Here is a 12708-nt window from a genome sequence, read left to right on the forward strand (position 1 = left end):
CTGCTGGAGTTGGAGCTCTCCACCAGTCAGTCATGGTCCACCAGCACAGAAGCTATTGTGTGGGCCCCCATAGCACCTGAGACTGCACGCAAGCAGGAATGACCAGGCTGGGGTCCCAGGAGAGGCCAGCAAACCAAGGGGTGCTCAGGTCGGACCAGCCTTGACTGATGGGCAAGACCACCCTGCAGAGTTCAGGTCTGACAGCTCCCCTAGGTCTAGAGTCTCCTATAGGAAGCAATTCAAGCTTAGGGTAATGGCCATCTCTGGCCATGCTCTGCTACAGACACTTTTGCACCAAACCGTGTGAGCTCCACGTCATCTAGTTTGCTGCCCCTACCACTTCTCTATTAGCTTTCCCTGCTAACTCTAGTTTCTCTGGTGGTTGAAGGGTCTCCTCCTGCTGGGTTCCAGAGGCCCGTGGTGAAAGTGGGTTGCTCTTTGCCAGTTCAACTCACCCAATTCCCCTCAAGCCATTGTGGGCCAGGAATGAGTCCCAGTGAGGGGTAGCCCCACGTAGGGTTCCCAGCTTTCTCCCTCTTCAGCCCAGCTTCGGTGTCTTCCCTCCATCCACTCTCAGTGCCTTCCCTCTGAAGATCTGTTAGGAGCACACCAATCATCTGGGTCCCTAAGTGGGAGCCATTCCACCTGGCTGCATCCAGTCGGCCATCTTGCCCTCCTCCCCTCTTTTCTTTATAAATTACTCAGTCTCAGGTATTCTTTCATAGCAACATGAAACAGATTAAGACACCAAGTAAAAAGTTTCACCTGAAAGTCTATTGAAGCTTTATTTGTGATACCCCTAAACTGGAAATAACATAACTGCCCATTAACTGATGAATGGTTAGTTGTGGCATAGTCATACGATGGAATATTAGTAATAAGAAGGAAGGAGGTATTGACACATGCGATATGGATAAATCTCAGAATAATTATCTGAGTGAAAGAAGCAAGAAATAAATACATAGTGTATCTGATTCCATTTCCATAAAACTCTAGGAAGTGCAAATTAATAAGAAAATAACAGAAGTCAGTTCAATGGTTGCATGGGTTTAAGGAGTGGTGGGCAGAGTGTTAAGTATGAATTACAAAGGGTCAAAAGAAAAACTTTTAGGGGTAATGAATACATTAATTGTCTTGAATATAGGGATGGTTTTACAAATCTATACATATGTCAAAACTTCAAATTGTACAATTTTAACACACAAGACTTATTATATGACAATTATATCACAAAAAAACTGTTAAAAATGGCCATGAGGGAAAATTTATGGATAACAAAAGCATTCTTGAACTGGATTGTTGTGATGTTTATGCAACTGTAAACATTTCCTAATAAGTTATCTCAATTTAGGGTTACAATGGATGATCCTTTTGGTATATTAACTATAATGTAGTAAAACAATTTAAAAATTACTAGATATTTTCCCTTTCCTTGGTGATTTGGTAGGCAGGATTTTATGCTGTGAACGGGTATGGTGAGAGATAAAAGGTGAGAGGATTGGTCTGATGAGAGATTTTGAAAAGGCTGTGTGCAGAATGAGAGAGAGTACTTACTGAAGAAACATGGAAAGCTTTTCAGGCAGCACACATGGCCCAGGTAAAGCACATATTAAGTACTCCAAAATACCAATTAAAGGAGAAAATAATGCATAAAGTTACTTATACAACTAATATTTATTGAGCACCCACCATGTAACAGGCACTCTGTTAGAGACAATGTTTAATTTCAATCACTAATTTTTGCTTCATTCACTTACTATACTACAATGTTCACCTTGTAAGACCCCAATGGCTTTTGTAGTATTAATTACTGCTAAAGTGAATATCTCTTTTTATTTAAGTATCTGCCTACAAACAAATGGAAGAACATTCCATGCTCATGGGTAGGAAGAATCAATATCATGAAAATGGCCATACTGCCCAAGGTAATTTATAGATTCAATGCCATCCCCATCAAACTACCAATGACTCTCTTCACAGAATTGGAAAAATCTACTTTAAAGTTCATATGGAACCAAAAAAGAGCCCACATAGCCAAGTCAATCCTAAGCCAAAAGAACAAAGCTGGGGGCATCATGCTACCTGACTTCAAACTATACTACAAGGCTACAGTAACCAAAACAGCATGGTACTGGTACCAAAACAGAGATATAGACCAATGGAACAGAACAGAGCCCTCAGAAATAATGCCGCATATCTACAACTATCTGATCTTTGACAAACCTGACAAAAACAAGAAATGGGGAGACAATTCCCTATTTAATAAATGGTGCTGGGAAAACTGGCTAGCCATATGTAGAAAGCTAAAACTGGATCCCTTCCTTACACCTTATACAAAAATTAATTCAAGATGGATTAAAGACTTAAATGTTAGACGTAAAACCATAAAAACCCTAGAAGAAAACCTAGGCATTACCATTCAGGACATAGGCATGGACAAGGACTTCATGTCTAAAACACCAAAAGCAATGGCAACAAAAGCCAAAATTGACAAATGGGATCTAATTAAACTAAAGAGCTCCTGCACAGCAAAAGAAACTACCATCAGAGTGAACAGGCAACCTACAGAATGGGAGAAAATTTTTGCAACCTACTCATCTGACAAAGGGCTAATATCCAGAATCTACAATGAACTCAAACAAATTTACAAGAAAAAAACAAACAGCCCCATCAAAAAGTGGGTGAAGGATATGAACAGACGCTTCTCAAAAGAAGACATTTATGCAGCCAAAAGACATGAAAAAATGCTCATCATCACTGGCCATCAGAGAAATGCAAATCAAAACCATAATGAGATACCATCTCACACCAGTTAGAATGGCGATCATTAAAAAGTCAGGAAACAACAGGTGCTGGAGAGGATGTGGAGAAATAGGAACACTTTTACACTGTTGGTGGGACTGGAAACTAGTTCAACCCTTGTGGAAGTCAGTGTGGTGATTCCTCAGGGATCTAGAACTAGAAATACCATTTGACCAAGCCATCCCATTACTGGGTATATACCCAAAGGATTATAAATCATGCTGCTATAAAGACACATGCACATGTATGTTTATTGCGGCACTATTCACAATAGCAAAGACTTGGAACCAAGCCAAATGTCCAACAATGATAGACTGGATTAAGAAAATGTCGCACATATACACCATGAAATACTATGCAGCCATAAATAATGATGAGTTCATGTCCTTTGTAGGGACATGAATGAAGCTGGAAACCATCATTCTCAGCAAACTATCGCAAGGACAAAAAACCAAACACCACATGTTCTCACTCATAGGTGGGAATTGAACAATGAGAACACATGGACACAGGAAGGGCAACATCACACACTGGGGACTGTTGTGGGGTGGGGGGAGGGGGGAGGGATAGCATTAGGAGATATACCTAATGCTAAATGACGAGTTAATGGGTGCAGCACACCAACGTGGCACATGTATACATATGTAACAAACCTGCACGTTGTGCCCATGTACCCTAAAACTTAAAGTATAATAATAATTTTTGTTTTAAAAAGTGCACCTCAAAAAAAAAGAATTCTATAAATGCTATGCAAAGTAATTTTTATAACTGCCTTGTAAATGTTGACCACTCAACTCATCTTGGTCACTACCAGTTGCCTGTTTACAATTCTGGAAGCACAAAGTTGTGAAAAAGAACAAGGGTTTTGAAATTTGACAGACTGGACATGGGCTTCAATCCTAATACCTGGAATCTACTGCTATCCAACCGTATAAAATATAAAAACCCTAACTACTTTTCATTGCAGCGGATGAAATTAACATGGAAAGCAACTAGCATATGGCCTAACAAACAGCAAGCATTCAAAAGTACCAGCTGCTATTATTGTTCAAGAAATGAGCTGAATAACATTAATGTTTTCAGATTTGAGCTTTACACTACATTTTTACACATGATCTCAGATGTCTGAATCCTTGTTTTCCGAGTAAAAACACTAAGTCTCAAAGTTAAGTGGCTCATTTTCTTGTGGATTCTACTTTCTAATTTCTCACTTCAACTCCCAGCCTATATCCCATTCTAACTCCAGACACAGCAAACTCCTCCAGGTCCTCTGAACTTAGCAACCCTCCTCTCACCTCCATATCAACTCTCTCCTCCAAACACACACATGCTGTATAATTTTCTATTTGTTAATCAAGCTTTACTTTCTTTACCATCTTAAGTTTTCTGTATCCCCTTATTTTCTGTCTTTGTGCACCAGAATGGAATATCAATGAGAGGAGGTTATCCATCTGTTGTACTCACTGATATATCTCCGGAACCTATAAGGCCTATAGTAAGTGATCAATAAATAGTTGTTGAATTAATTACTGAACCCTTGAAACAGTCTTGCATACATAGTTTGGCACATATGGGACTCCCATTTGAACTCTGGGAAACATGGAAATTGGACAAGTTAATCTTACTGGGAAGGCTCAGCATCCAGAGAGACCAATACACCCAAAGCTACTAGAGTCAGATCAGGATGGAATTCTACCTCACTCTCTCTTACTATAATAGTTGTATAACCTTGGGCATGCTTCCTTACTTCTCTGGGTCTCAGTTTCCTTCTCTCATTAATTATCCTCATGAGATATTTGAAATTATTCAATACTTTCGTTCATCCCTTCAGCAAACATTTATTGAATGTCTCTTATCTGACAGGCACCATTTCAGGCATTGGGGTAAGTTGGTAAATAAGTCACATCTATCAGCTCTCAGTCTAATGGAGGACACAAATAATTGTTTATAGAACAGTGGATGTGCTGCTATGATAGGGGAAATACATGGTTCTGGTGGCAGGGGTTGTAGGAGTAGTTGCTGCTCTTCGCTTAATCTTTTTTGTTTCCTCATGAATACTGGTGAAGTCTCACCAGTCATCAAGGCCTAAGGCCTGCCTGCTTCTGGAATCATTCCTCCATATTTGTACTTTCACAAGCTCTGTGATTCTGTGGATCTTACTTTGGCTTGACAAGGCTATAAGTGTCAACTTGAAATTTTTCACAGGGCAAAACTTATTCACTGACAAGAGTATTTGATAGTAACAAAATGATGATAAAATAGCTAACACTTATTTTCAAATGGCCTTATGGATTCTGGTTTTATTCACTGGGTCACAACCTATTATTATTATTATTATTATTATTATTACTCATTCTAATGTTCAAATGGTCAAATTACAAAAATTACTTTTGTGCCACATTCTTTGCTAAATGTTTTCAATAACTTATTTTAAACCTCACAACATACCTAAACAAAAATCCTATTTTTATGTGCATTTACATATTGGGTAAATAGAATTAAGGAAAGTTTGGAGGGTTTCAAAGTCATATTGTCAGTAGAGACAGGTGATTCAGAGTGCAGACTTGCTTGTAAAAATCATTCCACACTAAAACAAACAGAGGCGCTTTAGAGAAATGTCTGACTCAAAGGCTGGAACAGGGAAAGTACAAACAGCCAGGAACATCTTGTTGCACTAGAAAGTAAAGAAAGTGTTCCAGCTAAGATAAAGATAGGACAATAACATGCAGGAAGTTTCAAGGAGCTTCAACTAGCCCAATCTGGGCCAATTTGAATATCAAAATAAATTTTGATGATAATCTGTTATTACCCAGTGATTAAATATATACCCATGAGCCCATAATGATGTAAGTAAATACATAAATAAGCTAATAAATGAGGAAGATGTGTGTGATGGTTAATATTGAGTGTGAACTTGATTGGATTGAAGGATGCAAAGTATTGTTCCTGAGTGTGTCTGTGAGGGTGTTGCCAAAGGAGATTAACATTTGAGTCAGTGGGCTGGGAAACGCAGACCCACCCTCAATCTGGGTGGGCACCATCTAGTCAGCTGCCAGTATGGCTATAATAAAGCAGGCAGAAGAAGATGGAAGAGCAGACTTGGTGAGTCTTCCGGCCTTCATCTTTCTCTCGTGTTGGAAGCTTCCTGCCCTGGAACATCAAACTCCAAGTTCTTCAGCTTTTGGACTCTTGGACTTACACCTATCATCTTACACCAGTCGTCTGCCAGGGGCTCTCCTGCCTTTGGCCACAGACTGAAGGCTGCATTGTCGGCTTCCCTACCTTTGAGGTTTTGGGACTCAGACTGATCCACCAGTGGCCTCCTTGCTCCTCAACTTGCAGACGGCCCATCATGGGACTTTACATTGTGATCGTGTGAGTCAATTCTCCTTATAAACTCCCTTTCATATAGGCATATATCCTATTAGTTCCGTCCCTCTAGAGAACTGTGACTAATACAATGGGAAAGCTCTTCATGACAGTACAATGCCAACTTATTAAGTGTTGAAAGGCTCTTGTCACTCCCGTGTTCATCGCAGTACTATTGAAAACAGTTAAGATATGGAATCAAACTAAGTGTCCAACAATAGATGAATGAATCAAGAAAATGTAGGAGATAATGGAATTCTATTGAGCCTTAAAAAAGAAGGAAATCCTGCCTGAGCATGATGATGCATGCCAGTACTCCCAGCACTTTGGGAGGCTGAGGCGGGAGGATTGCTTGAGCCCAGGAATTTGAGACCAGCCTGGGCCACATAGTGAGATCCTGTCTCTACAAAAAAATAAAAATTCATATGGCATGGTGGCACATGCCTGTGGTCCCAGCTACTCAGGAGGTTGAGTTGGGACAATCTCTTGGGTCCCAGAGGTCAAGGATGCAGTGAGCCATGATCACATCACTGCGCTGCAGCCTGGGTGACAGAGAGAGACCCTGTCTCTAAAAAACAAAAACAAAAGACATCCTGTCATTTGCGACAACCTGGATGACATTTTGTTAATGGAAGTAACCCAGGCAGGGAAATACAAAGACTGCAGGATCTTATTTATGTGTGGAATCTAAAAAGGTTGAACTCGTGGAAGGAGAGAGTAGAATCCTAGCTACAAGGAAATTGAGAGGAGGTGGTTGGTGAGCGGTTCATCAAGGATCCAAATTTTCAGTTAGATAGGAGGAATAAGTTCAAGAGACCCACTGTACGTTATGGTGACTATGGTTAATAACACTGTATTGTATTCTCGAAAATCACTGAGAGTAGATTTTGTGTTTTCCCCACAAGAAATGTTAAGTATGAGAGGTAATAATGTACATGTTAATGAGCTTGATTTAGCCATTCCACAATAAATACATATTTCTGAATTCAAAGTTTTTGACCTGTAAGAAAGGATAATCATTGAGCTTACCTACCTCCTAGGGCCATGGTAAGGATTAAACGAGATGATGCACATATGTTTTCAGCAATATCTCGGACAGGGCGAGTACACAATAAAAGTTAACTCACATTGTTTTTTTATTCCTTTTGGTTTTTAGAGGACAACATTTGATTAGACAGTTCTGGTTCCAAGGACTCAGATCTAACCATGTCTCTGAGGTGCCTACCAGAGATAAGATCCTAAGTTTTGAGACTCATATAATTAATTACTCAACAAAGGATACCTTTCATCCTTATTAAAATTATTGGCCCAAACATTTCTGATCTTAATATCTAGTCTCTTACCATTCCACTTAGCTGCCTATGTGTTTTCCTGGAGCCAAATATCCTCACTTTAACATTTAGTGTGTACTAAGGTCCCTAGGCTTCTATATGTGCTACCTGTATGTTCAGTGGGAATGTAACTATTTTCAGCCATCCTTCTGACTAGCCCAATGTACCATAGTAAAAATATCTGCCATTCATTTGGAGCCTAAATATACCATGCACAAAAATTCTGGGGAGCAGATTTTATATCTATCTCCTTTTTCAAAGTGAATACACAGGCTCAGAGGGGTGGAGAGACTTTCTCAGAGTCACAGAGCCAATAAGAGGTGGTACATGAAATGCCTCACTGCAATACCCAGGGCCTTGCTGCATAACTGAGCTGTATTCAGTTCTAACACTGTACACTATTATTAGGCACTATCTTCTCAACTAGATTCTAATCTCAGTGAAGGTAGACAGCAAAATTTAGTGCTCATGGATACGCCGGTACCTTCTTCACGCCTAAGCACACAGTAGGTATCCAAGGAATATCTGTTGTCTCTTTAATGTGGAAAAGAGGGCTTGCTTTTAAATATTTCTAAAAGCCTCTATAACCAAGTTAAATAAGGTTACTCTTTAAGTGTACTCTAAAAACTCTGAGCAGAAATATGATTCTGTAAAAATTGCTACAAACTAAACAAGATAGTTTAGAGTTGTTTACACAGGTGGGAAAGCTATAATAAGCAGCAAAGTAGAGATTCTAAACAATGAGCAGGATGGTAGGAACGTCCATTGAGGAAACAGACAGTTGTGGCAGGGAAAGGGACATAAGGGGTTCTAGCGTTTTATCAATATTTCATTTCACTGTTTTGGGTTGTGGTTACACAGGCTTTCGCTTTATAACTATTCATTATTTATCTTTGTATATCCGTTTTATGCACTTTAAGCTGAAACCAAGAAAAAAGAATAAGATTGATTCCAGGTCAAAGAAACACCAAGATTTGAATAAAGGTATTAATATGGCCACATGAAGAATGTATCAGTCAGGAGGGGGTTTGTCAGTCATCCATGAAAGGAAATACTGGAAACACCCATATAGGCATTGTGTGGGAAAAACAAGTCTCTACATGATTTCTGGTCCCACTGTCAAAGCATTACCTAGTATGAGATGGAAATATTGAATGATGCTAGCCTCATACCATTAACAGACAAAATGTATCTATGCAAGATGTCAGCTCTTTCCCCATCTTAATTACCTTAATTAAACCGATTAATAACCTTAATGCATTTCTTTTCATTTTGTAACACTTGTGTACCAGAAATTACCTCTTTTTCAGGCTCATAGACACACACACACACACACACACACACACACACACATCCAATCACACCAGGGCACTGATGTATTTCAGTGGACATTGTCATTGACTCCCCAACATCCATTCTGTCTTCTGTTTATCTAAGCCAGTCATGGCAATTCCAATATTCTTGACATTCACTGGTTTTGAAACAGGCATGTGACCTAATTCAGTCCCATATGTTGGAGTTGATTGTGGGGATATCTTCTGGAAAATACTATGTCACAGGTCTTGCCTCTTTGAAAGGGCACATTGGAAGATATATTCCTTTCTGTCTGTAAACATTACCATGTCAAAATCAGAGACCTAAAAGTGCTTCAGCCACATTGAGACCAGTACGTTAAGGGCATTGAGAGTGGCACAGAAGAGAGGAAAAAAATCTGAACCCTTCAAGGCATCCTTGAGCTGGAGTTCTCCTTGCATGGAATCCACCTACTTTTGATTTCAGGTCTATTTTGGAAATAGACCAAATATTTAATGAAGAATAACTAACTGCCAGGTACCATGTGGGCTCTAAAGATACTACAGCAAACAAAGCAGACAACTGTGTCTGGTCTCATGGAACTCATATTTTCATGTAATTATACAAACAGTAAATAAAACAATTACATCCAATTGTATGTCATAAGATTATAATGGTATGGAAAAAGTTAGAGGAAGTTAAAGATCTGGAAGGCAGAGAAGTTGGATAGGGCTGAGAAGTTGGAGAGGATAGGGCTCTCTCTCAATGTGACATTTGAGCAAAATCTAATGAAGTTGATGAAATGAACCATTAAATATGTGGAGGAAGAATATTTCAGGCAGAGAGAACAGCCAGTAAAAAGCCTTTAGTTGAAAGTATGACTATCATAGGTACGGATGATGTAGTGGGATCTAGTGGGGGAGTTGTTGGATTTTAGAGAAGTAACAGAATATCAAATCACATAGGAACTTGCAGCCCATGCCAATGCTTTGATATTTTTTTTCTCTCAATTAGACCGAGAACAATGACAGAGGAGTGGCATAATCTGACCCAGGTTTCAAAAGGATACCTCTGGCTGCTGGGATGAGACTAATCATTAGAAACAAAGGTATAGGGAAATGAACCAGTAAAAATGTTATTGCCATAATCCAGGCAAGAAATTGTAGTGGCTTACAATGAAGTGGTACAGTGGAGGGGGACAGAATTGCTCACATTCTCAATATATTTAGAATGCAGGCCCAACAGTATTTCCGGATAAATTTAATGCCAAGATTGACACCACTGTTTCTAAGTGAGCATCTAAAAAGATAAGGTTAACTTTAACTGAAATGAGGAAGAATGAAAGTAGATGAAATCAGGGGAATGAAATAAGATATCCAATTTTTACACAGTTAAAATCAAAATGTTTGTTTAACATGCATGTGGACTTGCCAAGTGGGCAATTGGAAACAGACTGTGGAGTTTAGGTCAGCTATCTAAACTGGACAGAGATGAGAGTGTAGATCACATAGGACACCACACTACTGGATAAGATCACCAAGGTAATGAGTGTAGGCAGAGAAGAGAAGGAGACCAAGGATTGACTTCTGAGGCACTTCAATGTCAAGAGATCACGAGGAAAGGAGGAGAATCAGCCAAGGAGACTCAGGAGTTACAGCTAATGAGGTCACAGAAAAACCAAGAGAGTATTGTACTAGAATTCAGGAAAGAAAGGACTTCCGGGTAGAGGGATTGATCAACTCTATCCAATATATGTCTCATATATATATATACATATTTGAGACAGGGTTTCGCTCTTATTGCCCAGGCTAGAGTGCAATGGCGCAGTCTCCACTCACTGCAACCTCCACCTCCTGGGTTCAAGTGATTTTCCTGCCTCAGCCTCCTGAGTAGCTGGGATTACAGGCCTGTGCCACCACACCCAGCTAATTTTTGTATTTTTAGTAGAGACAGGGTTTTCCCATGTTGGCCAGGCTGGTCTTGAACTCCTGACCTCAGGTGATCCCTCTCCTTGGCCTCCTAAAGTGCTGAGATTACAGGAGCAAGCCACCGCCCACACTAACTCTATCCAAAAGTATAAATAGGTAAATTAAGGAGAAGACTGCGAAATAGCCATTCGATTTAGAAATATTGGTGTCATGGTTACCTTGACAAGAACAGTTTGTTTAGTGGAAGGTGCGTAGGCCTGGCTGAAGTATGATTAAGACAGAATAGGAGGAGAGAAATGGGACACAGTGACCATAGACAACGCTCTGTGGGAAGCTTGCAATTGGGGAACAGATAAATGGCACTAAGCAAGTAAAAGGAGTGAGGTAAACAGGTTTTTGGTGTTTGCATTTTTTTTAACATGGCAAAAATAACACCAGTATGTATGTTGACAGGAACAACATAGTAGAGGAAGAAAAAGTCATGTCATGAGGATGTTACAAATGCTGTGAGATTATGAACTTGCTTTTTGATTTAGCCAGTCTAAGTAAGATTTTTCTGTTAGGTGTAAGCAAAAAAAAAACAAAACAAAAAAAAACAAAACTGTCATGTAGTGAGCAATTGGCTTGATATGTCTGACTTTTTGTCTTATGCCAATTGTGGAGGCATAATTTTAATATTTCTCTCTTTGACGTGTTTGAATGATAAATTATATGGTCACAATAATTGGATAGGAAGACTGGTTCTACAGTCATAGATTCCAATCCTGGGCCTGCCACTTAAAAGATGTCATTTAGGATAAATTACTTAGCTTCTGTGTGTTATACAAAATGTCTTCCTATGAACATAGGGATAATAAAGGTACTTAGGAATCAAATGAGGTAAAGCATTTAAAGAGCTTGTAGAAGAACTTGCTATGTGGTAAAAATTTCATAACTATTAAAAGTCTGCATGCCACATGGTAAAAGTTCCCTTTTGCAGTAAAGAACATCAACTGCCTGATTAACTGTTTTGCCTATTCACACATATAACCTTAAAATTAATAAACATGAAACTAACAAAGTAAAATTATTCACAGCTCCATTTTATAGGTATGAAAACAGGGAAATAGATCATTTAAGATAAAAAGGGAATTAAAATATAATGGTTAATTTACAAGCTGTGTCAAGACGCTTGGTGTTATGGTTAATTTTATGTGTCAACATGACTGAGCCACGGGGTGCCCAGACATTTGAGCAAACATAATCCTGGGTGTGTCTGTGAGAGTGACAAGTTGATTTCAGCCTTGCAAGGTCCTAAACGGAGAACACAGTTGATCCATGGCAGACTTATGGAAACTGTGAAATGATAAATGTATGCTGCTTTAAGCCACTAAGTGGGTGGTAATTTTTAATGAAGCAATAGGAAACTAATATACAGGTATTTAAGTTATTACTATATGGAATCTGTTGTGGTTAAAGTGATGCACTGCGTTGTCTAAACCACTGCGGAGGATGAAGACTAATATCTGGCTCAGCCATAACCTATATAGCTCTAAGGTGCAAATTAAAGTAGGTATAGCTAAACGCCAAGGGCCAAGAATGCTAAATGTTATGTAGTGAAGACTGATTGCAATATAGCTGTGAGAACAGGCAGCTTCAAGTGTGACAGCAACAATGGAGGACACTTCCAGGTAAGATGGTGTCATTCTCAGTGTGAAGGGCTCAGATGCTGGGGCTGCCCCTTCTGTCCCTGCCTTTTAAATGAGGCAGAGACTTCAATTTCAGGGTTCTCTTGCGGGGCCAAAACAGACAAGCAAAGCCAGAGGAATGGCAGGCAGTGGCTCTGAATTAAACTAAATAACTTATTATGGAAAACACGTATGATAGACATTCCTTGAGGCTTTAGAGTCTCTAACACCAGCTAGCTCTGTGATTCAATCAGTGTTCCAGGATTCTAATTTATAAGAGGTGTGTGTGTGTGTGTGTGCATGCATGTGTGGGTGTGT

General features: G+C 39.4%; 1 long non-coding RNA gene across 1 annotated transcript in view; it reads right to left on the reverse strand.

Moving 5' to 3' along the window:
* The window catches only part of LOC105373204 (uncharacterized), a 175604-nt gene that overhangs the window by 90037 nt on the left and 72859 nt on the right, over positions 1-12708 (reverse strand). The window lies entirely within an intron of this gene.

Source organism: Homo sapiens, chromosome X (assembly GCF_000001405.40).
Source record: "Homo sapiens chromosome X, GRCh38.p14 Primary Assembly".
Lineage (NCBI taxonomy): Eukaryota > Metazoa > Chordata > Mammalia > Primates > Hominidae > Homo > Homo sapiens.